General features: G+C 52.4%; 1 protein-coding gene across 3 annotated transcripts, besides 4 other annotated features; it reads left to right on the top strand.

The window, feature by feature from the left end:
- Positions 7-346: a silencer, noted in NCBI's record as "silent region_10642". NCBI's record gives its function as "represses an Ori minimal core promoter by ATAC-STARR-seq in GM12878 lymphoblastoid cells {active_cell/tissue: GM12878}" and the evidence as "EXISTENCE:reporter gene assay evidence [ECO:0000049][PMID:35858748]".
- NUMBL (NUMB like endocytic adaptor protein) lies at positions 139-24,885 on the top strand. Of its 3 annotated transcripts, NM_004756.5 has the most exons (10): positions 139-330; positions 3,795-3,879; positions 6,234-6,373; positions 7,822-7,896; positions 7,988-8,062; positions 9,733-9,873; positions 13,369-13,558; positions 17,141-17,446; positions 20,770-20,892; positions 22,652-24,885. In NM_004756.5, exons 1-10 carry the CDS (start codon positions 307-309, stop codon positions 23,320-23,322), a joined length of 1,830 nt encoding a protein of 609 aa, NP_004747.1. In that variant the 5' UTR covers positions 139-306; the 3' UTR covers positions 23,323-24,885. The 3 variants fall into 3 exon arrangements, with proteins under 3 accessions (NP_004747.1, NP_001276908.1, NP_001276909.1); NM_001289979.2 differs by lacking the exon at positions 3,795-3,879; NM_001289980.2 differs by lacking the exons at positions 139-330; positions 3,795-3,879 and adding an exon at positions 626-750.
- Positions 909-1,848: an enhancer, noted in NCBI's record as "H3K4me1 hESC enhancer chr19:41194847-41195786 (GRCh37/hg19 assembly coordinates)". NCBI's record gives its function as "activates a minimal SCP1, AML or CMV promoter by ChIP-STARR-seq in naive H9 embryonic stem cells {active_cell/tissue: H9 hESC(naive)}" and the evidence as "EXISTENCE:reporter gene assay evidence [ECO:0000049][PMID:30033119]".
- Positions 1,186-1,235: an enhancer, noted in NCBI's record as "active region_14662". NCBI's record gives its function as "activates an Ori minimal core promoter by ATAC-STARR-seq in GM12878 lymphoblastoid cells {active_cell/tissue: GM12878}" and the evidence as "EXISTENCE:reporter gene assay evidence [ECO:0000049][PMID:35858748]".
- Positions 2,972-3,266: an enhancer, noted in NCBI's record as "tiled region #4590; K562 Activating DNase matched - State 5:Enh, and HepG2 Activating non-DNase unmatched - State 23:Low". NCBI's record gives its function as "activates a minimal TATA promoter and a strong SV40 promoter by Sharpr-MPRA in K562 cells, with weaker activation in HepG2 cells {active_cell/tissue: HepG2 | K562}" and the evidence as "EXISTENCE:reporter gene assay evidence [ECO:0000049][PMID:27701403]".
- Positions 24,886-26,562: the final 1,677 nt, after the last annotated feature.

The following is a 26,562-nucleotide window of genomic DNA, read 5'->3' as shown; positions in this document are numbered from 1 at the left end:
TCTGCGTGTGGGCGGGGTCTTCAGGCCAAGGGGCGGGGCGGGGCGGGACCTTTCTGCATATACGGCAGGCGGCGGGCCAATGGGCGGGGTCGGGGCGGGGAGCCGAGGCCGAGGGACGCTCCCCCGCCCCCGGAACGGAATCCTCCCGGGAGCCGAGGAGGCTCGCGCGCGTGCATCCCGCACCATCCCCCGGCCCCGGGCCCTGGCCGGCGTCAGACCGAGCTGCCGCCGCCACCACCGCAGCAGCAGCAGTCGGGGAGCCAGGCCCAGCCAGGGCCGCGGGAGGCGGGGGCGCCCGGGCCCTGGATGTCCCGCAGCGCGGCGGCCAGCGTGAGAAGGGCGGGAGAGGGGGGCTCGGGTCGGGGGCGGCGCCGCTGCTGATGTGGCGGAGGGTGGGAGGCGGCCGCGGCGCCCGGATGGAGAGAGGGTGCCAAGGCTGGAGAGGGTGGTCCCGGGTGGGGGTCCAGGAACAGGCCCAACAAGCCAAAGCCCAGGAGACCGGGGTCTTGGGCACAGACCCCTGGGCCATCTCTTGCCAAGGCCCTGGAAATAGGGATCCTGGACACAGACCCCCCACAAAACCAAGGACAGGGGTACAGAGATTCTAGGTACAACTCCTAGAACTAGATGGGGATGGAGATGGGGTCGGGGACACAGCCCCCGTATCAAACCAAGGCCTCCAGGACGCGATTCCAGACACAATCCCTACCTCTCCCTGCCTAAGGGGGTCTCAGCACAACAACTGCCTAGGTACGGTCTCGAGGATGGGGTCACTGGGTACAGCGTTCCCACCACGCCAAGGCCTAGGGGGACTCCAAGCACAGCCTGCCCCCAGGTCTCAGAGGCACCCTGGGCACAGCATCCCCCCAATCCTTGGGCGGAGTCCCAGGCACAGCCACTTCTCAAAACAAGGTCCCTGTGCCTGGGACTCCACCCCACCCCAGCCTGAATAAAATAAGGACAATTTCAGGCAACCCCCAATCCCTCCACCCCCTGGCTTGGTCATGGGTCCCAGGGCACAGGATCCCTAGGCCACCCCCTTTGTCCCCAGGGCTGCCCAGCTGTCCAAGAGTGGCCCCACCCGCAGACAATGCACCGCTTCCCCCTCCTGGACCTGGCCCTCAGGCTCCAGGATACAGGCTGGGCTGGGGGCGGCTCCCCAGGGACCGGGTGCAGCCCTGTCTGTCTGCAGTGTCTGCGGTGACGGTGACGGCGGCTTTGTGTGTGGTACCTGGGGGGAAGGGGGGAAGCAAGCGATGGGGAGGTGGCTAGGAGTGTGCCCTGTGTTTGTGTGACTGTGGCTGTGTATGTGTGTGTGTGTGTGCACGCGTACGCTGCAGCTGGTGACTGAGGAATCCTGTGTCGTGTGTGTGTGCTTGTGGTGGTGTCTATGATTGTGTCTGTGACCCTAGTATCTGTGTGACTGTGTATGTGTGTGTGACAGCTGCTCACTGTGCAGAATCCTGTACTTTTTAGTCTGTCTGTGTTTGGAGGTGTGCATGGTTGTGACTGTGGTTGTCTGTGATTGTGTCTTTTGTGACCCTGTGTTTGTATGCCTCGGTAACTATAACTGGGTATGTGACAGTATGTGTTGAGTCTGGGGGTGGGCATGCGTGTGACTGACAGGACGTGGGTGGAGTTGTGACTGTGTGTGAGTGGAGTTGTCTATGGCTCCATGTGCATGTGTGACCCTCCCAGTGACTGACAATGTTTATAGTTGTGTCTCTACCTGATTTTATATACGTGAGTGACACACACCTGTCTGTGCAACTCTGCCTGTGTGACTGCCATTGTGTCTGAAGTCACATTGTATCTGTGTGACTGGGGTTGTGTGACAGTATTGTGTATGACAGTGGTTGCGTATGCAGAACCATGTCTGAGTGTGTGACTGAGGTTGTATTAATATAAATGACTGTATCTAGCAGTGTGTGTGATAACGAGTGATTGTGTGTATTTCTAGCCTTGCATGTGTGATTTGGGTTATGTATTTGACTTGGTGTCTGAAACCCTGGCTATTTAGAGGGATTATTTGTGTGTGACTAAAGCTGTGGATGTGTCTCCGTGCTGGTGCCAGGAAATTATGTTTGTAGGGGTGTGTATATGATTATGGCTTCCATATTATTGTGTTTGACCTGCATGTCTGACCCTGGGTGACTATAGATGTCTGTGTCTATGTCATCATCTGTGAGAGTGTGGGGTCTGTAGCTGTGTGCCTGTTTTTGTCTCTGTGTGTATGTGCTGGACTACCTGTGTTAGAATGTGTGATTTGGTGATGAGATTGGCCCCTGACTGTGCACATGGCTCCGTCAGGACCTGTGTCTTCTGTGTAAACCCAGCTATAAATGCCACATCCTGGTCACTGCATTTATGTGCATACACTGGACTGTGTACTTGTGACATGGGAAACTAAAACTGTGTGCTTATGTCTCTATGTGTGAGATATGTGTGTAGGTGGGGCTTGTGACTTTGTGCACCTGTCCACACGGGGCTGTGATTCTATATGGCCACATACTTGTCTGTGTGACTTGTGTGCCTGCATGAAGAAAGGCTATATGTTTCGCTGCATTGGAGTGACATGGTACAGCTGTGTATGGACACTGGGTGACGGGATTATGACCATGATAGGTGGCTGGGTCACATGGACATTGATGCTGTGGCCATGCCTATAGGACCACCATGGCTGTGTCTTGAGGGAGGCCATCCTTGGGGACAGTTGTTTGTGGGTGGTTGCATGCTGTGGCCATCAGTACCTCTGTATGTGGTTGTGTATAGAGGACTGTCCCTATGAGTGTGGCTGTCACAATAGACTGTGTGACTGATGCTGTGACCAGATTTGAGCACCTATGACTGAGTATGTGTGACCACGTGACAGTGTGTGGCCAAAAACAGTGTGTTGGTGTGACTGGTCTGGTTGAGGCTGCATGTGGTCTCCGTGGGACCAAATGTGTGTCTGTCCGTGTGCATCTGTGACCAGATGTCAGTGTGCAGCAGTGGAGATACGTGTAACAAGTGTATATAGCTGCGATTGTGTCGTGTGGGACTGGGTCAGCAAATGGGTGAACTCTGGGTGTGATTCTATCTGGGTGGGCCTGTGACGTCAGTATCTTGGGCGGGTGCCTGAGGAAACATAGCTGTCACTGGGTGTGGCCACGCATGTGCGGCTCTAGTGGGTTGTCTGGGCCCCGTTCTTTGTATGTGGCTGAGAATGTGGAAGTGACCAAATTTCAGTGGGTGGTGTGACCAGGTGTCTGCGGTGGGAACTGAGTGGGCCAGGACATGCTGCATGTATGTGGACAAATGTCTGTAGTAGAGACTGTGTGTGTCCGAACATGAATATGCGGCCAGATGTTTACAGTGGCAGCTTTCTGGGTTTGGGACTGTTTCTGTGTATCTGCGATCTGAGGTGTGTAGCTGTGATTGCGTCTATGTGTAACCAAGTGTGTAAAGCTGTGGCCAGATGCTAGGGACACCTGTAGATATGAGTTGGCTGCGTATGTGTGTAGCCCTGCACATGCATCTGGAGGGCAAGGCCACTCTCACAGCATCCCCTTGGGCAGTGAGGCTCTCCTGAGGCCAGCACATCCCCAACATATGCCCCCCAAACATACCTACTCCTTCCTGGGCCCTTGGAACCAGGTGGCTGATCTCCCTGGTAACAGTTGCTAGGACAACTAGGACTCTCATCAGGGAGCCCAAGATGGAGGGGGCTGGCCGAAGTCCAAAGTCGGGGTGAAGTATCAGACTGAGCCCCAACCCAGACAAACTTCTCACCTTCTCCTCCCCTACTCGGGCAGGGCGGACCCCGGAGGCCTGAGCGGCACCTGCCCCCAGCCCCCTGTGGGGCCCCGGGGCCCCCAGAAACCTGCAGGACGGAGCCAGGTGAGCGACCAGCCTGGGACAGGGCAGGGCTGAATGGGTATGTGGTCTTGCCTAACACGACCAGAGGAGCTGTCCCTGCGGTCACACAGGCTTAATCACACTCATGAGTGGACACCCTCAGGCATCTTCCTCAGCGACTGTCAGAGCCCCACTCATGCACAGACCCACACCCTGACACCCTTACAGCCTCAAGTGCAGAGTCACAAACACTCACATCTGTAGATATACGGTTAGAGACACACACACACACACAGATCTCTTTCAGATCACACACACTTGCTAATGCAGTGACACACTTGAACACATGCTGAAGTAGATGTTCATCACACTAATGTACACACATATATACACACACACACATTCCTAGACAACACCCAGATTCACAGGTGACCACAGACGCTCGCTGGATACAGACTCTGAGATACACACTCTCAAGAGACACACTCTTGGCCGGGCGTGGTGGCTCAATGCCTATAATCCCAGCACTTTGGGAGGCTGAGGCGGGAGGATCACCTGAGGTCAGGAGGTCAGGAGTTCGAGACCAGCCTGACCAACATGGAGAAACTCTGTCTGTACTAAAAATACAAAATTAGCCAGGGGTGGTGGCACATGCCTGTAATCCCAGCTACTTGGGAGGCTGAGGCAGGAGAATCGCTTGAACCTGGGAGGCAGAGGTTGCTGTGAGCTGAGATCATGCCATTGCACTCCAGCCTTCATTCGCAACAAGAGCAAAATTTCGTCTCAAAAAAAAAAAAAAGAGACACACTCTTGCACAGTCTGACAACACACACAGACCCACATTTCTACAGACGACAGCCACACTTTCACAGACAGCACCCGCGGGCCCAGGCTCTCACAGGGAGCTACGGTTGTGTACAAACATGCACACAGTCTCACAAAGAACACCCAGCACTCTCTCAGGCAACAGTCACACCCTTACAAATAACCCTCATGAAAACACTCTCAAAGACAACCTCATGTTCCCACACACCCTAACGGATGCACCACTGCACACAGATACACCCTCTGTGCAATACCCACACACCCACACTCTAAGGCAACAGCCACAGTCACACAGGCTCACCGCCAACAGCTGCACTCTTGGACACAGACAGTCTTGTAGATCCCTCAGATGCACTCTCCGAGGCAATGTCATCACAGACAATAGCCACACCTTCACACAGAGACATAGCTACATGGATAACAGCCATGGACACACCCTTTGAAAGACGACAGCCTCATCTCAAACACAGACACACCCTCACAGGCAACAGGCACTGAGCCACAAGTTCTCATAGACAACAACGGCACTCTCGGATATAGACAGCAGACACACACTCACAACCACTCTCAGACATCGATGCCCTTCAGCAACAACCTTCAGGGCCTCAGACTCACAGACAACAACCACACTTTTGGATGCATCCCTCACGGACAGCATTCACAGATGCACACTATCCTACACCATTCTCAGACATGCGTTCTTCCAGACAGCCTTCAGAAACACACTCACAGACATTACTTGCCTGCTCAGATATAGAGCCCCTCATAGACAGCGTTCCAGAACATACCATTGCACACTTGCTTACACACACACACACACACACATCCCCCTCTGCTGTTGGTGCTCCCAGTCCTGGGACTGTCAGGATGGCTGATCAGTGAAGACTGTCCTAGTGGCTGGCCACCTCCACACCCACTCCACACACCCACAGCCCTGCCTCTGACAGTCATCAGTGCAAGGCCCCAGAAGCCTTGCCTGGGGACTAGACACAGTTGTCACAGAATGGCTGTGTCTCAGAGTTCCAGAGACAAGCCACCATCCCCCATACCCCATGCACCTGACTCCTGCACCCCTGACCCATGCAATTCCCAACTCCTCTGCTGCCCTCTGATCACCCCACTGCCTGACTCTCATACCCCTAAAACCCCTGACCGTGCGGCCCCTGACTTCTATGCCCTCTAGCCCCCATGCCCTCCTACGTCTGATTTCCCACCCTTTGTGTCCTCACGGCCCTGGGAATGAGGAAGCATCCACCACATGGACAAGAAGCCCTCCAATGCCCTGAAGCCTGTGCCCCATACCCCCCACCCCAGACCTCCAGCCCCTTAGCCCCATGGTTCTGAATCCCCAGTGCCCAACTTTCGCACTCCCCTGGCTTCTGTTGGCTCCTTTCCTCACTGTCCCCTGACTTGAGCTGCTGATCCCATGTGCGCTGCCAACTGACCCTGTAACCCCGCTTCCAGTTATCTTGTTATCTGACCCCATGCTCCCTGAGCACTGGTCCCTCCCCGTTGAGCTCCATACCTTCTGACCCCCACCCTTGACCCACATCACTGTCCTGTGTCACCAGACGGGGCGGGCACCATGAACAAGTTACGGCAGAGCCTGCGGCGGAGGAAGCCAGCCTACGTGCCCGAGGCGTCGCGCCCGCACCAGTGGCAGGCAGACGAGGACGCGGTGCGGAAGGGCACGTGCAGCTTCCCGGTCAGGGTGAGTGGGCGCGGCAGGGTGCGGCGGGGCGAGGGGGACGGGGGCCGCTGTGCTGTGCTGTGCGGGTGCGCGGCCTGGCTGGGACACCAGCCCAAGTCGTTTGAAGTTGGTGTTAAAAAGCGTGAGGCCGGCAGTCCTGGCTATCACGGTGAAACCCCGGCTCTACTAGAAATACAACAAATTAGCCTCGCGTGGTGGCGGGCGCCTGTAGTCCCAGCTACTGGGGAGGCTGAGACAGGAGAATCGCTTGAACCCGGGAGGCGGAGATTGCAGTGAGCCGAGATAGCGCCATTGCACTCCAGCCTGGGCGACAGAGCAGACTCTGTTTCAAAAAAAAAAAAAAAAAAACTTGAAGCGTAGTGGTGGCTAACACCTGTAATTCCAGCACACTGGGAGGCTGTGGTGGGAGGATTGCTTGAGTCAAGGAGTTCAAGACCAGCCTGGGCAAACACAGGGAGACCCTGTCTCTACAAAAAATAGGCACAGTGGCACGCACCTGTAGTCCCAGCTACTCACAAGGCTGAGGTGGGAGGCTCACTCGAGTCCAGGAAGGTCGAGGCTGCAGTGAGCCTTAATTGTGCCATTGCACTCCAGCCTAGGCAACAGAGTGATACCCAATCTTGAAAACAAACAAAAAACCAGAACACATTTTTTTGTACCAGCAAACTATTACCTGGAAGCCGTCATGTGGTGTAGCATTTGCAAAGCGCTCTACCGATAAGGACGTTCTGGTTTAGCCATACCCTACGCTTTTACATTCCTGTGAGGGGGAGAGCAGGATTCACGGCGTGGACTGTGGAGCTCAGCCCCTTCCTGGCTGGGTGATGACTGACCATGGTCACAGCCCCTCCACCACCTTACGTTCCCTTCCCTGGAAGCAGACTTTGAATGTGACGGCTTCATTTGGGAGGTGCAGGAAATGGTGTTGGGAGTGAGGAAAGTAAGGCAGCCAGTAAAGGGTGTGTTATTAAAACTGCAGCAGTGTGCAACTGAGCTTTCCCCTGGGAAACTCGAGGCAACAGTCATCCCACCTGCAGATGAGGGAGCTGGGGCTCAGGTACCCTAACTCCCTTCAGTCATTGTGGGGACTGGCCCAGGCTCTTTCTAGCTGCTTTAGGGTAGGCAAAGCAGCTTTGCATGGCCTGTGGCCAGTCCTCACGCACAGAGATGCAAATACTAGCTCTCGGGAGGACCACGGTGCCGGGTTAGGGCCCAGGGGTATAGCTAGACTGGAATCACTACTACGTGCTGTGCTTCAGTTTCCCCATCTGCATGTCTAGACCAGGAATGGGGTCTCCACCTTGTAGAGTTGAGATGCAGAATAAATGATTGCATACACATCATGTGCTTAAAATATTGTCTACTGCATGGCAGATGCTCAGTGGACACTGAGAATGAGTGATTACTGTGCTGTTTCATGTCCCCCCCCCCATTCCCTCCAACCCAAGTACCTGGGTCACGTGGAGGTAGAGGAGTCCCGGGGAATGCACGTGTGTGAAGATGCGGTGAAGAAGCTGAAGGCGGTGAGTGAGGGGGCTGCCATGAGGGAGGGGGCAAGGTCAGACAGGGAGAGGCACCCTGACCCGGCTCCTTTGTCCCCTTGCCTCCCTCCAGATGGGCCGAAAGTCCGTGAAGTCTGTCCTGTGGGTGTCAGCCGATGGGCTCCGAGTGGTGGACGACAAAACCAAGGTAGGAGGCCTGTGGGGGTGGACGCCAGGGGGCCTGTCTGCTCACCCTGCTGGAATCAGGGCGGAGGACACCTTCCCGCCTCCTCTGCACATCCCTCCCTCAGGGACCTTCTAGACGATGCCGTGTGCTCCCTCTGTCGTCATAACTCAGGAATAAATGCTGTGATTATTTGGGAACTGGCATAGGCTGTGGGTGAGAGAGACTGGAGCAGCTGCCTCAGCTCCGATCCCAGCTTAGGGACCCTGGGCATGAGATTTAACCTCTCTGAGTCTCAGTTGTGTCATCTGAAAAATGCAGATTATAGGCCGGGAGTGGTGGCTCACGCCTGTAATCCCAGTACTTTGGGAGGCCAAGGAGGGTAGATTACCTGAGGTCAGGAGTTCGAGACCAGCCTGGCAATATGGTGAAACCTCATCTCACTAAAAATACAAAAATTAGCTGGACATGGTGGTGTGTACCTGTAATCCTAGCTACTTGGGAGGCTGAGGCAGGAGAATCTCTTGAACCCGAGACTTGGAGGTTGCGGTGAGCGGAGATCATGCCATTGCACTCCAGCCTGGGCAACAAGAGCTAAACTCCATCGCAGAAAAACAGGGATTATAATAGACCCTACCATTAAGTGAGAAAGCATATGCAAGTTATTTGAAATGGTGCCTGGCTGGGAGGGCCCCTTGAAGCCAGGAGTTCAAGATCAGCCTGTGAAACATAGCAAGGCTCCATCTATACAAAATAATTTTTAAAAAAATTTAAATGTGGGCTGGGCACGGTGGCTCACGCCTGTAATCCCAGCACTTTGGGAGGCCAGGGCAGTTGGATCACCTGAGGTCACGAGTTCGAGACTAGCCTGGCCAAGATGGTGAAACCCCACCTCTACTAAAAATACAAAAATTAGCCAGACGTGGTGGTGCGTGCCTGTAATCCCAGCTACTTGGGAGGCTTAGGTAGGAGAATCACTTGAACCCAGGAGGCAGAGGTTTCAGTAAGCCAAGATCATGCCACTGCACTCTAGCCTGGGTGACAGAGCAAGACTCCTTCTGGGAAAAAAATATATATATATATTTAAATGGGGTCTAGTACATCGTAACTGCTCAGATCAATGAATGTTAGCCATTAAGTGTTTATTGTCACCCTGCCCAGTCAGAAGGAAGCACTATGAGGCCACAATCTAGGTATCTGTTTGCTCACCTTGAATCTGCTGCCCCCAGCCCAGAGACTGCCCTAGGAGGTGCCCAGGACATGCTGAGAGTTGGGTTAATAACAGAACAAGATCACCACCTTTGCAAGGCAGTTCCCTCAGCCCAAAATACTGTTCCTTGACTTTTTTTCTTAGTTAGTACCTGCTCCAGGAAGCCTTGCCTGACTGACCCCAAGCTGGCTTCTGCCATGCTGGCCCTGACCCCTCTGCCTGTGCCTCCATGGTCCTGGCCCTGACCCCTCTGCCTGGGCCTCCTTCATCACATCCTGGCTATGACTCTGGGCTGCCCATCTCGTGATGGGTCTGATCTTCCCGCTGACCTGGGAGCCCTCTGCAGGCAAGGCACAGGGTGTCTCAGTGACTGCTGGGTCCCCACCCTGTTCAGGACTGGATTTCAGCAGACACAGAGAGAATGTTGAGTGAACACTTGAAAGAGAGTTCACACTCTTCTCCTGGCCTCCCCGGCCCCTCCTAGGATCTTCTGGTCGACCAGACCATCGAAAAGGTCTCCTTTTGTGCTCCTGACCGCAACCTGGACAAGGCTTTCTCCTATATCTGTCGTGACGGGACTACCCGCCGCTGGATCTGCCACTGTTTTCTGGCACTGAAGGACTCCGTGAGTATTGCCACAGCTGGCCAACTCTTCCCTCCCATGCCCTGGCATCCCAGCCCCACCCCTACAAGCTTCCTGCATTCAGGCACATCACTAACCTCTGTGTGCCCAGTTTCCTCATCTGGAGAAGAAAGTATACTCACGGTTCCCAATTTAGAGTATTCACGTGAGGGCCGGGTGCAGTGGCTCACACCTGTAATCCCAGCACTTTGGGATGCTGGGGCGGGGGGATTGCCTGAGCTCAGGAGTTCAAGACCACCCTGGACAACATGGTAAAACCCCATCTCTACTGAAATACAAAAAATTAGCTAGGTGTGGTGGTGCACACCTGTAGTCCCAGCTACTTGGGAGGCTGAGGCAGGAGAATCACTTGAGCCCGGGAGGTGGAGGTTGCAGTGAGCCAAAATTGCACCACTGCACTCCAGCCTGGGAGACAGAGTGAGACTCCATCTCAAAAAAAAAAGAGTATTGGCCAGGCGTGGTGGCTCACGCCTGTAATCCCAACACTTTGGGAGGCCAAGGCAGGCAGATCACCTGAGGTCAGGAATTTGAGACCAGCCTGGCCAACCTGGTAAAACCCCATCTCTACTAAAAATACAAAAAAAGTAGACAGGCATGGTGGCAGGCGCCTGTGATCCCAGCTACTCCAGAGGCTGAGGTAGGAGAATCACATGTGGGGAGAATCACATGAACCCTGGAGACGGAGGTTGCAGTGAGCCAAGACTGCACCACTGCACTCCAGCCTGGGTGACAGAGCGAGACTCTGTCTCAAGAAAACAAAAAAAAAAAACTATTTGGGGATGAGAATGAAAGCCAGAAAAGAGCAGGACCATCTCCTGTGGGTAAAGAATGTGATGTTGGATGAATTCCTTCCTACTTCTGAAGGAAGTTTTAACCATTAAGCAGTAGAATTCCCCAAGTTCAACTTTTTTTTTTTCTTGAGGTGAAATTCACATAAAATTAATCATTTAAAAGTGTACAATTCAATGGCATTTAATACATTTTCAGTGTTGTTTAACCATTGACTTTAGCAGTCCTGAAACATTTTCATCACCGCTAAAGGAGACCCCATCTCCATTCATCAATTCACCCCGTCTCCCCACTACCCCAGCCCCCTGGCAACCACTAATCTGCTTTGTCTCTCTGTGGATTTACCTATTCTGGATATTTCATTTAATGGAATCATATAATATGTGTCTGGCTTCTTTACTTAGTGTAATGTTGTGTTTTTGTTTGTTTTTGAAACAGAGTTTCGCTCTTGTTACCCAGGCTGGAGTGCAATGGAGCAATCTCAGCTCACTGCAACCTCTGCCTCCCGGGTTCAAGCAATTCTCCTGTCTCAGTCTCCCAAGTAGCTGGGATTACAGACATGCACCATCACAGCTGGCTAATTTTATATTTTTAGTAGAGATGGGGTTTCTCCATGCAGGTCAGGTTGGTCTTGAACTCCCGACCTCAGGTGATCCGCCTGCCTCTGCCTCCCAAAGTGCTGGGATTATAGGTGTGAGCCACCCTGCCCGGCAATGTTTTTAATTAATTTATTTAATGACACAGCGTCTCTCTCTGTCATCAAGGCTGGTGTGCAGTGGTGCAATCTCGCCTCACTGCAACCTGGGTTCAAGCGATTCTCCCACCTCAGCTTCCTGAGTAGCTAGGACTACAGGCACACGCCACCATGCCTGGCTAATTTTTTGTAGAGATGGGATTTCGCCATGTTGCCCAGGCTGGTCTCGAACTCCTGGACTCAAGCGATCCAGTCACCTTGGCCTCCCAAAGTGCTCGGATTACAGGCGTGAGCTGCTTGTATCAGTGGTTCATTCCTTTTTTTGAGACGGAGTCTCGCTCTGTTGCCCCAGGCTGGAGTACAGTGGCACGATCTTGGCTCACTGAAACCTCCGCCTCCAACCTTCAAGTGATTCTCCTGCCACAGCCTCCCTAGTAGCTGGGATTACAGGTGCACGCCACCACACCTGGCAGATTTTTGTATTTTTAGTAGAGATGGGGTTTCACCATGTTGGCCAGGCTGGTCTCGAACTCCTGGCCTCAAGTGATTTGCCTGCCTCGGCCTCCTGGGATTACAGGTGTGAGCGACTGCAGTCACACCGTCTGATTCTTTTTGTATGTCAAATTTGTAGGCATTGGACTACTTCAGCATGCACACCATTAAGTAGAATTCGTATTTGTTTCCAGATTTTTTTTTTCTTCAAAGCGAAAGATATGATTGTCTTAGTTCAGGCTGCTATAACCAGATAGTGTAGACTGTGTGGCTTAAATGACAAACATTTGTTTGCCGCAGTTCTAGAGGCTGGATACCTGAGGTCAGGGTGTCAAATGGCTCATTTCTTGGTGAGGGCTCTTTTCCTGGTTTGCAGATGGATGCCTGCTTTCTGTATCTTCACCTCTCAAGGTGGAGGGGAGATCTCTTGTCTCTTTTTCCTTTTTAAGGGCATTAATCCCGGCCGGGCATGGTGGCTCACGCCTGTAACCCCAACACTTTGGGAGGCCCAGGTGGGCAGATCACTCGAGGTCAGGAGTTCGAGTCCAGCCTCACCAACATCATGAAATCCCATCTCTACTAAAAATACACAAATTAACCAGGTGTGGTGGCGCATGCCTATAATCCCAGCTACTTGAGAGGCTGAGGCAGGAGAATCGCTTGAAGCCGGGAGGTGGAGGTTGCAGTGAGCTGAGGTCATGCCGCTGCACTCCAGCATAGCATCAGAGTAAGACCCTGTCCCAGAAAAAAAATAAATAAATAAGGGCATTAATTCCATCATGAGGACCCCACCTCATGATCTAACATAACTTTTATTGTCTCTCAAAGGCCCACCTCCAAATACCAGCACATTGTGGATGAGGGCTTCAGCGTTAGAACTGAGAGAGACACACACGTTTAGTCTATAGCAATGCACAAGCCTTTGGTGTACAGTCAACGAATTTCGACAACTGCATACACCCATGTAACGAAACCCCTATCAATATCTAGAACATTGCCACCACCCGGTCATCCCCTCATACACTTTCCAGTCATTCCCCACCCCATAGGAAACTACCACTATTCTGACTTTTTTTTAGACAGAATCTCACTCTGTCACCCAAGCTGGAGTGCAGTTGCCCCATCATAGCTGCTTGCAGCCTTGACCTCCTGGGCTCAAGGGAACCTCCCGCCTCAGCCTCCCAAAGTGCTAGGATTACAGGCGAGAGCCACCACTCCTGGCCTGTTCTGACTTTTTTTCACCATAGAACCATAGATTAGTTTTGCCTCTTCTGGAATTTCCAGTAAGTGGAGCCACACAACAGGCTCATTGGTTTCTGGCTTCTCTCACTTGGAGCTGTCATTTCCAGCCCTTCCTTGTGGTGCAGATGAGCACTGAGGCCCAGAGAAGTGCAGAGACTCATCCGGGGCAACCCAGTACCTAGCGGCTATAACCCAGTGCCCCTGGCCCCTGTCCGCACTGCCCAGCGCCTCTAACCCCCCCGCCCATCCTCTCCCCATAGGGCGAGAGGCTGAGCCACGCTGTGGGCTGTGCTTTTGCCGCCTGCCTGGAGCGAAAACAGCGACGGGAGAAGGAATGTGGGGTCACGGCCGCCTTCGATGCCAGCCGCACCAGCTTCGCCCGCGAGGGCTCCTTCCGCCTGTCTGGGGGTGGGCGGCCTGCTGAGCGAGAGGCCCCGGACAAGAAGAAAGGTGGGTGTTGCCCCAAGCGCCAGCAGAGCACAGAGTGGGCACAGGGTACCCAGTATCAGGGGGCAGGGAGCTGCAGAGGTGCAGAGACTCAACAGTTTACAAAGTAGGGGATGCTTCAGGCCAAGCGCCATGGTTCACACCTGTAATCCCAGCACTTTGAGAGGCCGAGATGGGCGGATCGCTTGAGGTCAGAAGTTTGAGACCAGCCTGCGCGACATGGTAAAACCTCGTCTCTACTAAAATACAAAAATTAACTGGGCATGGTGGCCTACGCCTGTAATCCCAACTACTTGGGAGGCTGAGGCAGGAGGATCGCTGGAACCCTGGAGGCAGAGGTTGCAGTGAGCCGAGATCACGCCACTGCACTCCAGCCTGGGCAATAGAGTGAGACTCTGTCTCAAAAAATAAATAAATAAATAAAGCAACTTCCATGGAAAGAGTTCTCTGGGCAATATTCTAAGGGCGCACCAAGTGGTTTACTATCCACCAATTCGGGGCTTTTCGAGGCTTTTCTTTTTTTGTTTGTTTTTTTTTTTTTTTGAGACGGAGTCTCGCTCTGTCAACCAGGCTGGAGTGCAATGGTGTGATCTAGGCTCACTGCAACCTCCACCTCCCGGGTTCAAGCAATTCTGCCTCAGCCTCCCGAGTAGTTAGGATTACAGGCATGGCTAATTTTTGTATTTTTAGTAGAGATGGGGTTTCACCATGTTGGCCTCAACTCCTGACCTCAGGTGAGCCACCGCGCCTGGCCTTCTCAGGGCTTTTCAACCTGTGTATTAAGACCTGGGAAGCCAATTTGCTGTACTGTGGCTGGCATTTTTTGTTTTGTTTTGTTGTCTGAGTTGAGGTCTAATTCTGTTGCCCAGGCTGGAGTGCAGTGGTGCGATCACAGCTCCCTGCAGCCTCAAACTGCTGGGCTCAAGTAATCCTCCTGCCTCAGCCTCCATGTAGCTGGGAATATAGGCACAAGCCACAGCATCTGGCTAATTTTATTTTTATATTTTGTAGAACTGGGATCTTGCTGTGTTTCCCAGGCTGGTCTCAAACTCCTGGCCTCAAACGATCCTCCCACCTCAGCCTCCCAAAGCACTGGTATTATAGGTGTGGACAACTGGGCCCAGCCCATGTGGCTGACATTTAAAAAAATGAAATCAACCTGGGCAACATAGGGAAACCCTGTCTCTACAAATCATTAAAAAATTAGCCAGGCGTGGTGGTGCAACCTGTGGTCCCAGCTCCTCAGGAGGCTGAGGCAGGAGGATCACCTGGGCCCAGGAGGTAGAGGCTGCAGAGAGCTGCGATTGCACCACCACACTCCAACCTGGGTGACAGACAGAGTGAGACCCTGTCTCAAAAAAAAAAAAATTAATTTAAAAACAATGAAATAGAGAATCATAGAAAATATCAGAGTATATTGAATGGCATAAGGGTTAAATATAATTTAATGATACTTTTATTTGAGAGAGAGAGTGTGTGTGTGTGTGCACGCGTGTGTAAGAGGCTACCATATAAAAGATATCTCTTAACTCTGGATTGCCATCAAGAAAGTTTGAAACATACTTGGTAAAACTAACTTTCTAGGTAAATGGTTAAATACTTTGTAAGTTCTAAAACTCTGTGTGTGTGTGTGTGTGTGTGTGTGTGTGTGTGTGTGTTTAAAATATAATTGTATGTATGTCCTGAGTCACCATATAATTAATTTATTTATTAATTAATTAATTTATTTATTTATTTTACTGTGAATTTAAGTTCTTTGGGAAAACACTACTTAGAATTTACAAAGAATTTACCATTGGGAACTGATCCTGATTAAGGGAGACTAATGAGGTTTAACAGGTATTAATAGATGCGAGATGTGATCCTGAATTAGATCCTGGATTGTAAGGGGAAAAAAAAGAACATCTTTTTTTTGAGACAGAGTCTCTCTCCGTCACCCAGGCTGGAATGCAGTAGTGCCATCTCAGCTCACTGCAACCTCTGCCTCCTGGTTTCAAGACATTTATGTGCCTCAGCCTCCTGAGTAGCTGGGATTACAGGTGCCCGCCACCACGTCCAGCTAAGTTTTTTTTTTTTTTTTTTTTTTTTTTTTGAGACAGAGTCTTGCTCTGTTGCCCAGGCTGGAGTGCAATGGTGCGATCTCGGCTCACTGCAACCTCTGCCTCCCGGGTTCAAGCGATTCTCCTGCCTCAGCCTCCAGAGTAGCTGGAATCCCAGGCGTGTGCCACCACACCCAGCTAATCTTTTTTTGTATTTTTAGTAGAGATGGTGTTTCACCATGTTGGCAAGGCTGGTCTTGAACTCCTGGCTTCAACTGATCCCCCCACCTTGGCCTCTCAAAGTGCTGGGATTACAGGCGTGAACCACTGTGTCCAGGCATGCTTTTGTTGGATTCCAAAACATTTAACATTCACTACCTAAACTGACCCTCTCAGAGGCTTGGGAGGTAGCACTGAGATGTTTATCCCAGGTTTCTAGTTGGCAAACTGGAGCCCAGAGAGGGGAGGGGACTTCCTGAGGTCACACAGTGAGTGGAGGCAGAGGAGGTTTCCTGGTTCCAACCTGTCCTGGGCTGTTTCCACTGCCTTGGGCCAGGCCTGCATGGGTGCCCCATTGTGTCACGATGGGAGAAGCAGCACTGGGCGACATCCTTATGGGAGGGTCTCTCTGGGCCTGAGTTTAATCTCCATGGCATTCAGGCTGCAGCTCGGGGAGGCCCTGGTAGGAGGGTAGATGTGTGTTTGTGGTTTGGCAGGGGTGAGGGCAGCCCTGCCCTTGAAGAGCCTGCCTCTCCTGCTGAGTGGGGAGGTCAGGTTTCCTCCCAGAGTACAGAGAACAGTCTCAGAGTGGAGGGAGCCAGGCTGAGAGCCTGGAACAATCTGGAAAGCTTCTCAGAGGATGAAGCATCCAAGCCATGTCTAGAATGACTGGAGGAAGGGAGGAGCTACTTGAGGTGGGAAGAAGGCTGGGAGGTGGGAGACAGAGGGGAACAGACAGTGACAGAGAAAGACAACATGATATGGAGAGACAGGTCAGAGGGAGACAGGGCGGGCAGTCATTTGGAGCATGGGGTCCAGAGTCAGCCTGCCCCTTCCTAGCAGTAGGACTTGGGCACATCACACTGGGCCTTTGCTGGGTCTCAGTTTCCACATCTGTAAAATGAGAATCATATCAACCCCATGGGTAGTCGTGTGGATTGAATGAGTGAATACTTGAAAAGCATCTGGAACAATGCCTGATACGTTGTTCCAGCACCAAATCAGTGTTTGTTAAGTGATCAAAAAGGGAGATAGAGGGTCTTAGAGGGAAGAATGGTGAGAGCAGCAGGGCAAGACAGAAAGGGGCAGGAAGCTGGAGAGACACAGAGGGTGAGCCTGGGGGACGGTTTTCCAAGAGCCTCCTGGGGAAGGGGATCATGACTTGGGTGGGGGTGAGGGATATCTCAGGGCTTTGACTAGCTTGTCTTAAGGGCAGGACTCACTGGGCAAGGAAGGCAGCCTTGGAGAATGATCAAGAGAACCAGGTGGGAGAGGCCTTGCATGCCATGGTGAGATATCTAACCATCCATCTCCCCCATGTCTCCAGCAGAGGCAGCAGCTGCCCCCACTGTGGCTCCTGGCCCTGCCCAGCCTGGGCACGTGTCCCCGACACCAGCCACCACATCCCCTGGTGAGAAGGGTGAGGCAGGCACCCCTGTGGCTGCAGGCACCACTGCGGCCGCCATCCCCCGGCGCCATGCACCCCTGGAGCAGCTGGTTCGCCAGGGCTCCTTCCGTGGGTTCCCAGCACTCAGCCAGAAGAACTCGCCTTTCAAACGGCAGCTGAGCCTACGGCTGAATGAGCTGCCATCCACGCTGCAGCGCCGCACTGACTTCCAGGTGAAGGGCACAGGTGAGCCCTGGGCCCAGTGGGAAACGGCGTTGGAATCAATTGGCACTATCTGATGTGGGCAAGGGATGGAGGCGAGATGGTTCACACTGTGATTGATTTGCACTGTCTGCCATGGGCAAAGGAGAGAGAGTGGGAACATGTCATGATCGATTAGCAGTGGGCAAGGGAGAGGAAAGAGATAGCACAAATCAGGATTGATAAGCCGTGTCTGCTCTGAGTAAGGGATAGTAGAAAGGCATCACAAGTTATGATCAGTTAGCAATGTCTGGTGTGGTTAAGGAAAAGGAGAAAGATGACACACATCATGATTAGTTAGCAAAGTCGGCTATGGACAAAGAAGTCGGGCATGGATAAGGAAGTTTGCCATGGGCCAGGGAAAGAAGAGAAGCAACACCATTGGCCTGTTTTTGCTCAGGAGTAGACTGAAGCACTACAGGTTAATGCTCCCTCCCTCCAAGCATTCACCTATGAGATCTGGCTAGGTGAAGGATACAGGTATTCCTCAGGCTCTGAGGAAAGGAGGATTGTGATGGATTAGAAATGTCTGCCTAGGGCAGGGAGCATCAAGGGATGGCAAAAAAGGCATCACAAGTCATGATCAATTAGCAATGTCTGCTGTGGTTAAGGGAAACGAGAAAGATGGCACACATCATGATCGGTTAGCAGTCATGATCTCCATGCAGTGTGTGTCATGGGCAAGGGAGAAGAAAGAGTAGCAAGAGTGTTATGTTTTTACCCAAAGGGGAGACTCCCAGAATTTGGTCAGTAGAAACATGACATGCAGGGCACCAGTGAGCTCAGAGATCCCAGGGGTCAGGGGCATAGTGATGGATCAGGAACATTTGTTGTAGGCACAGAGTTGAGCAGAGGCAGTACCCATCACGAAAAGGAGCAGCACATCATAATTGATTGGCATTGTCTGCCATGGCTGGTGGTAAGAGAGAGGAGATATAAAGGTCCTGTTTTACTTGGAGGGAAGATGGAGTTACAAGGATCTGTTTCTTCTAGCACTTGGCCAGGGGAGCCATGAGGTCTGGACAGGTGACGGGTAAGGTGAGCAAAGAGCTCCGTGGGGGAAAAAAGCATTGTGTTTGATTACTAATGTCTGCCATGGGCCAGGGAAAGGAGACAGGTGGTGTACATCATGATCTAAAAGTGATGTCTAGCCAAGTGCAGTGGCTCATGCCTGTGGTCTCAGCACTTTGGGAGGCCAAGGCAGGCAGATCACTTGAGCCCAAGAGGGGCTCAAGGATCCCTTGAGGCAGATCACTTGGCTAAACCCTGTCTCTACAAAAAAATACAAAAACTAGCCTGGTGTGGTGGCGCATGCCTGTAGTCTCAGCTACTCAGGAGGCTGAGGAAGGAGAATTGCTTCAGCCCAGCTGCAGTGAGCTAAGATTGCGCCACTTCACTCCAGCCTGGGCAACAGAGTGAGAACCTGTCTCAAAAAAAAAAAAATTAAGAGCAATCTCTGCCATAGGGAAGGAAGATAGAGGTGGCACGCTACTGAGTTTTTGCCTGAGGGAGGCAGGCAGAAGGGCTGTCTTCCCCACCAGCAGCCAGTGAACCCATGTGGTCTGGCCCACTCTCTTGCTCCTGGATGCCAAATCTGCATCGCCTACCCGTTATGTCCTCGGGGATTGATGTGGGAGGGTGTTGAGCTGTATCCAGGAGGCTGGGCTGCTCCAAAAGGTAACCGGTGAGCAGATGCCAACCCTTGTTGAGAGTGACGCACGCTCCCTCCATGCCTGCAGCATTCCTGGGCCATCACACACCCTCACATTTGCTGTCCTTAACGCAGCCTGACATCAGGCACACTCCCCAGGCTGTCACACGTGCTCCTGAGAGGTGGCAGGAGCTCCAGGCTTTATTTGGAAGCCTCACACTCCTGTGGCCAGCTGCACGCTTATTTGGATGTGACTTGCCACACAGAAATTTCACATACTCACATAGACATTGCACCCCCCCACACACATGTCACACATGCTCAGAAGTCACAAACTCACAGTCAGGTATACTCTCAAGTCACACACACTCCAAAATCACAGAGTCAGAAGTCACACATGGCCAGACGTGGTGGCTCACACCTGTAATCCCAGCACTTTGGGAGGCTGAGGCAGGAGGATCACTTGAGCTCAGGAGTTTGAGACCAGCCTGGGCACCACAGCAAGATCTCATCTCCACAAAAAAATTTTAAAAATTAACCTTTATTGTTAACCAGGTGCAGTGGCATGCACCTGTAGTCCCAGCTACTCAGGAAGATTGCTTGAGCCTGGGAGGCGGAGGTTGCAGTGAACTAAGATTGTGCCACTACACTCCAGCCTGGGCAACAGAGCGAGACCCTGTGTCAAAAATAAATAAATAAATATTTTTAAAAAAGAAACACACTCAGATTTACACACCTTCACAGACCACACACCCAGATTTATGCAAACTCCAAAGCCACATGTGCAGATCCATGCACACCTGCAAACACACTCATACATCACACGGCAGATGCACTCACACCTGGGAGTCACGCATCAGGACGCCACACACCCGGACCCCAGTCACACTCTCAGAAGCTGCATTCCTGTTTGGACGAACATGCACAATCATTGTCGACATTGGCTGTCCCACCCGGGCGCCCCCGCAGCACACCTGCAGACTCCTACGGCCAGTTCTGATGTTCACTGGAGCATCTACATGGTCCCTTGGAGACAGCCATTGGCTAAAACATCACAGACATGTGTCACACACCACACATGGGAGTCCTTAATTGTTTATTTGGATGGTACCTTTGCTCATCACAAGCCCTCACGGGGCCGCCATGCCTGCTCAGTGTCTCCTGCCTTGCTGGCACAGGTGTATCTCTGCTCTCATGATGTTTGCCATAGATCAGCCTGGGTGGGGTGGACAGGACCCCACTTCTCTGCCCAAAGCTGGACAAATGATCCCCAGCCAGTGAGCGGCCATGCCACAGCCCATTCAGACTGGGCCCATGTCCTTGCCATGCACGTGGTTGGGCATATTTTTAAACTAATATATGTTGCTAAGTGTTTTAGACAACTCTTCTGGTTTGTGGCCACACACAAATCTTGAGGTCCTTGGTTTGGGGTCCCTGTTACTGTCAGCCGTCAAATGTCACACACTAACTCAGTCGTTCTGCCGCTCAGATGTGACACACACATATGCACAGTTATTTGGCGGTCATGGCCACTTAGTTACTACAGTGGGAAAGGATCCAGGTCAGAAGAGAGGGCCACCGAGGGCGGGGGGTAGAGGGCGGGGCTGCGGCAGGGTCTGGGCCTGTTTGCTGACCTCTGTCCTGCCCTGCTTCCCAGTGCCTGAGATGGAGCCTCCTGGTGCCGGCGACAGTGACAGCATCAACGCTCTGTGCACACAGATCAGTTCATCTTTTGCCAGTGCTGGAGCGCCAGCACCAGGGCCACCACCTGCCACAACAGGTAAAGCCAGGCTTTCTGCTGGGCAGACACCCTGCATGTCCCTCCTGTATCCCCTCCTCTATCCAGGGCTACCCAGACACTCCAGGGGTCTTGGGATCCTACAGGCTTAGAACCATGGATCACCTCAGAGCCAGGGGATCATCCTACAACCATGGATCATCTTAGAGCCATGGGATTACCTGAGAATCATGCGATTACTTTAGAACCATGGATCATCTTAGAGCCAGGGGATCATCCTAGATCCATGGATCATCTTAGAGCCACGGGATTACCTGAGAATCATGCAATCACCTTAAAAGCAGGGATCATCTTAGAGCCAGGGGATCAGCCTAGAACCATGGGATTATCTGAGAATCGTGTGATCATCTTAGAGCCATGGATCATCTTAGAGCCAGGGGATCATCCTAGATCCGTGGTTCATCTTAGAGCCATGGGATTACCTAAGAATCATGTGATCACCTTAGACCCAGGGATCATCTTAGAGCCAGGGGATTATCCTAGAACCATGGATCATCTTAGAGCCATGGAATTATCTGAGAATCATGTGATCACCTTAGAGCCATGGATCATCTCAGAGCCCTTGATCATTTTAGAGCCACGGGATCCCCTTAGAACCATGGGATCATCCTAGAACTATGGATCATCTTAGAGCCATAGGATCACCTTAGAAACACAGATCATCTTAGAACCAGAGGATCATCCTAGAACCAAGGATCATCTTAGAGCCGTGGGATTACCTGAGAATCAAGTGATCACTTTAGAACCATGAATTATCTTAGAGATACGGGATCATTGTAGAGCCACGGGGTCACCTCAGAGGCATGTGCTCATGCTAGAATCTTGGGATCACCTTAGAGCCCAGAGATCGTTTCAGAACCATGGAATCCTTGAGAACCATGTATCATCTTAGAGCCATGGGCTTATCCTAGAACCACAGGTGCACCTTAGAATCTCAAACACTGTAAATGTAGAACTCGAGAATCTTAGAAAGCCCAACCCTAAACTGTCAAACCTTACTATGTTAGGATACTATTATACATGTGGAGAAAGATCCATGCAATCTTAGAATCTTAACTCCTAAAACAATACATTCTGAAGGTATTAGAAAATCAAGGGTGATATTCAAAATAGTGAATACCAGCTGGGTGTGGTGGCTCATGCCTGTAATCCTAGTACTTTGGGAAGCCGAGGCAGGGGGATTACTTGAGGTAGGAGTTCGAGTCCAGCCTGGGCAACATGTTGAAACCTCGCCTCTACTAAAAATACAAAAAATCAGCCGGGCGTAATGGTGCGCGCCTGTAATCCCAGCTACTCAGGAGACTGAGGCACGAGAATTGCTTGAACCTGGGAGGCAGAGGTTGCAGTGAGCCCAGATAGGGCATCCCTGGGCAACAGAGTGAGACTCTCAAAACGAACAGACAACAAACAAAACAAAATAGTGAATCCTAGGCTTGGCACTGACCAGTCAGAAGGGTAGTGGGGCTAGGAGGATGTCAGTCCTACTTAGACTTTCTCATCATAGGGCCTTAGAAGCTCAGAATTGTATGTTCTTAGCACTCCAGAACCATTACGTGGTCCAGAATGGTGAAGTCACTCGCCTGAAGTCAGCAAGCTCGGGAGGTGCAGAGCTGGGATTCAGAGGCAGGCGGTCTGGCTCCAGAGTCCGTGCTCTGATCCCCACACCATGCCAGTTCCCAGCCTGGGGTTCTTCTGCTGAAGCCGTTGCCCCCTCCCTCACCTGTCCCTCTCCTCTCTCCAGGGACTTCTGCCTGGGGTGAGCCCTCCGTGCCCCCTGCAGCTGCCTTCCAGCCTGGGCACAAGCGGACACCTTCAGAGGCTGAGCGATGGCTGGAGGAGGTGTCACAGGTGGCCAAGGCCCAGCAGCAGCAGCAGCAGCAACAGCAACAGCAGCAGCAGCAGCAGCAGCAACAGCAGCAAGCAGCCTCAGTGGCCCCAGTGCCCACCATGCCTCCTGCCCTGCAGCCTTTCCCCGCCCCCGTGGGGCCCTTTGACGCTGCACCTGCCCAAGTGGCCGTGTTCCTGCCACCCCCACACATGCAGCCCCCTTTTGTGCCCGCCTACCCGGGCTTGGGCTACCCACCGATGCCCCGGGTGCCCGTGGTGGGCATCACACCCTCACAGATGGTGGCAAACGCCTTCTGCTCAGCCGCCCAGCTCCAGCCTCAGCCTGCCACTCTGCTTGGGAAAGCTGGGGCCTTCCCGCCCCCTGCCATACCCAGTGCCCCTGGGAGCCAGGCCCGCCCTCGCCCCAATGGGGCCCCCTGGCCCCCTGAGCCAGCGCCTGCCCCAGCTCCAGAGTTGGACCCCTTTGAGGCCCAGTGGGCGGCATTAGAAGGCAAAGCCACTGTAGAGAAACCCTCCAACCCCTTTTCTGGCGACCTGCAAAAGACATTCGAGATTGAACTGTAGCCCGAGCCGCCCCACCCACTCCATCATCTCCAGGTGCCCCACGCCTGGGGGTGGAGGCACAACCTCTCCCCTAACCCTGCTCCCTGGGGCTGCGCCCCTCAACACCCTCTCAACACCCCCCTCCCTCAACCACCCCGACAACCACTACAGAACCAACATTGTGACGCCCAGGTTGCAACAGGATGGAATTCAGGGACGGACCCAGCCTGGCTAAGGGAACCATTTCACTGCCGGACTTAGGCTGGCAATGCCCCCTTCCCCAACCCCAGACACAGGGGTTGGCCACAATCCCACTGAATGCCCTTGGTTCACACTCCATTTCCCAGTTTCTGTTGACCCCCACCTTCCAGTGTTGGACAGGATGGAGGGGGGACACTTGCTTAGGGGCTCTCCTGGGCCCCACACCAGTGCCCACCCCAAATCTGGTCGTCTCCTCCCCCCATGCACAGCACAAGCTAAGGGCTGCCCTCTGCCCACACGCTGCGTTCACTGCCAATGCTGTACTCACCTCCATCACCCTCCAACTTTGGGGCCCATGTCTTCCTTGGGCCAAGGTCTCATGGGGGCTAGGGCCAAGTTGGGGGCCCAGGAGGCGGGGAGGGAGGAGGAGGAGAAGATGCGCAGTTACCTCATGTCGGTGCCCGCTGGGGAGGGGTCCGGGAAGAAGGGGAAGGGGTGCCTGGCGGGTACTTTTCTATCTTTTATTTCCAGATTTTTTTTGTATCTAAACTTGAAGATTTGTATTATACAAGGACAGCCAATAAAGGAAGAATATAATGGTGCCCCTCGGGAAACGAGGGTGTGTGTAGGGCGCTGGTGAGGCCCTAGAACCTTTCCTCCTGAGTCATGGACTGAAACAGAGTCAGAAGGATGTCCCTGAGTGATAACCTCTGAGTCATAGCGTGGTAACAGGTACCACTGACTCAGCACCTGCCAGGCGGGTATTAAAGGAGCCAAAATTAATCACCCCATTTCTATTCCTTACAGAGTTAGAATCAAGGAATAAAAAACAAATATTATGAACTGCTGGCTGGGCACAGTGGCTCACGCCTGTAATCCCAGCACTTTGGGAGGTCGAGGCAGGCAGATCACTTAAGGTCAGGAGTTCGAGACCAGCCTGGCCGCCATGGAGAAACCCAGTCTCTACCAAAAATTCAAAAATTAGCCGGGCGTGGTGGCAGGCGCCTGTAATTCCAGGAGGCTGAGGCACAAGAATCGCTTGAACCCAGGCAGCAGAGGTTGCAGTGACCTGAGGTCACACCATTGCACTCCTGCCTGGGCAACAGAATGAGACTCTGTCTCAAAAAAAAAAAACAAAAAAAAAAAAACTACTTCTAATTAGCTCAATATTAATATTTTAACAAGTTGGGTTGGTAACAGTATATCTTTGCCCATGCTGGCAAATTCTTGTTTTGTCAGCATTTTCCATAACTCTGGCCAAAGTGTCACCTGATGTGGCAACGTTTTACAGTCTTGCTATTGTTTCTTGAGTCCTTTAATCTATAAGATGTATTTTTAAAAATATATAACATATAAATTTTGTTTCGTTATAGCTCTTTAAAATGAGGTGGTTGATTTTGTGCAGTCCAATATTCTATTCCCACTGGATAGATGGGGAAGTTGAGTCAGTGGCCCACGGTGATACATTTGATTAGTGTGGGCCAAAGTCAAAGGCAGTCGTGAAACCATCAGGCTGAGGCCGGGCACTGAGGTGGCTCTCACCTGTAAGCCCAGCACTTCGGGAGGCCAAGGTGGGAGGATCGCTTGAGCCCAGGAGTTCGAGGCCAGCCTGGGCAACATAATGAGACCCTGTCTCTACAAAATAATTTTAAAATTAGGTGGGCGTGGTGGCATACGCCTGTAGTCCCAGCTGCTGGAGAGGTTGAGGTGGGAGGATTGCTTGAGCCTGGGAGGTCCAGGCTGCAGTGGTCCGTGATGCAGTCACTGCACTCCAGCCTGTGAGGGTGACAGCGTGAGACCCTGTCTAAAAAAGCAGACAAAACAAAAGGCTGGGCGTGGTGGCTCATGCCTTTAATCCCAGCACTTTGGGAAGCCGAGGCAAGTGGATTACCTGAGGTTGGGAGTTCGAGACTAGCCTGGCCAACATGGTGAAACTCCGTCTCTACTAAAAATACAAAACTTAGCCAGGCGTGGTGGTGGGTGCCTGTAATCTCAGCTACTTGGGAAGCTGAGGCAGGACAATCGCTTGAACCTGGGAGGCCAAGGTTGCAGTGAGCCAAGATCACGCCACTGCACTCCAGCCTGGGCAACAGAGCGAGACTCTGTCTCAAAAACAAAAAAGCATCAGGCTGTGAGGGAACAAGCCTAGGGGTCTGCCCTCTATAGCGTTTCCATTACATCCCATTAACCTGCTTGTGGACTCCAGGACTAGGAGACCTAAGACAGCTCTGTCGGGGTATGACGTTGGGGGAATGTCCCAGGCAGGGAGCAGAGGACCCTGCCAGAGATAAGCCACACTCTCACCTCCAAGCTTTTGCATTTGTCATTCTTTCTGCCTAGAACACCCTTTCCTTCATGGTGACACAGCACTTCCCAGAAGAATGCTACTCATTCTTTAGGACTCCGTTCAAATACCTTTTGTTAGAAGGTGACCCTCTTCCAAGGCCCTGAGCCCCATCCTATCCTTTCATTAGGATTTATTTATTTTTTGAGACAGAGTCTCACTCTGTCGCCCAGGCTGGAGTGCAGTGGTGTGATCTCATTGCAGCCTCCACCTCCTGGGCTCAAGCGATTCTCCTGCCTCAGCCTCCCAAGTAGCTGGAACTACAGATGCCTTGCCACCACACCTAGCTAATTTTTGTATTTTTAGTAGAGACTGGGTTTCACCATGTTGGCCAGGCTGGTCTGGAACTCCTGACCTCAGCGATTTGCCCACCTCGGCTTCCCAAAGTGTTGGGATTACAGGTGTGAGCCGCCGCGCCCAGCCCAGTATTTTTGCTATTATTATTTTGGAGGCAGGGGTCTCACGCTGTCACCCGGGCTGGACTGCAGTGGGGCAATCATAGCTCATTGCAGCCTTGAATTCCTGGGCTCAACCAATCTTCCCACCTCAGCCTCCTGAGTAGCTGGGACTATAGGCGTACACCACTATGCCCAACTGATTTTTAAATTATTTTGTAGAGATGGGGGTCTCGCTATGTTGTCCAATCTGGTCTGGAACTCCTGGCCTCAAGCGATCCTCTTGTCTCTGCCTCCCAAAGTGCTGGGATAACAGGCGCC

The sequence above is a fragment of the Homo sapiens genome, chromosome 19 (assembly GCF_000001405.40).
Source record: "Homo sapiens chromosome 19, GRCh38.p14 Primary Assembly".
NCBI classification, from domain to species: domain Eukaryota; kingdom Metazoa; phylum Chordata; class Mammalia; order Primates; family Hominidae; genus Homo; species Homo sapiens.
This window is presented reverse-complemented; position numbering and strand designations above follow the sequence as displayed.

Excerpts from the sequence above, each read along its gene's own strand:
- NUMBL (NM_004756.5), top strand. The coding sequence starts at position 307 with ATGTCCCGCAGCGCGGCGGCCAGC. Across the intron at positions 8,063-9,732 it reads TGGTGGACGACAAAACCAAG|GATCTTCTGGTCGACCAGAC; the intron begins GTAGGAGGCCTG and ends GGCCCCTCCTAG. Across the intron at positions 17,447-20,769 it reads CTTCCAGGTGAAGGGCACAG|TGCCTGAGATGGAGCCTCCT; the intron begins GTGAGCCCTGGG and ends CCTGCTTCCCAG.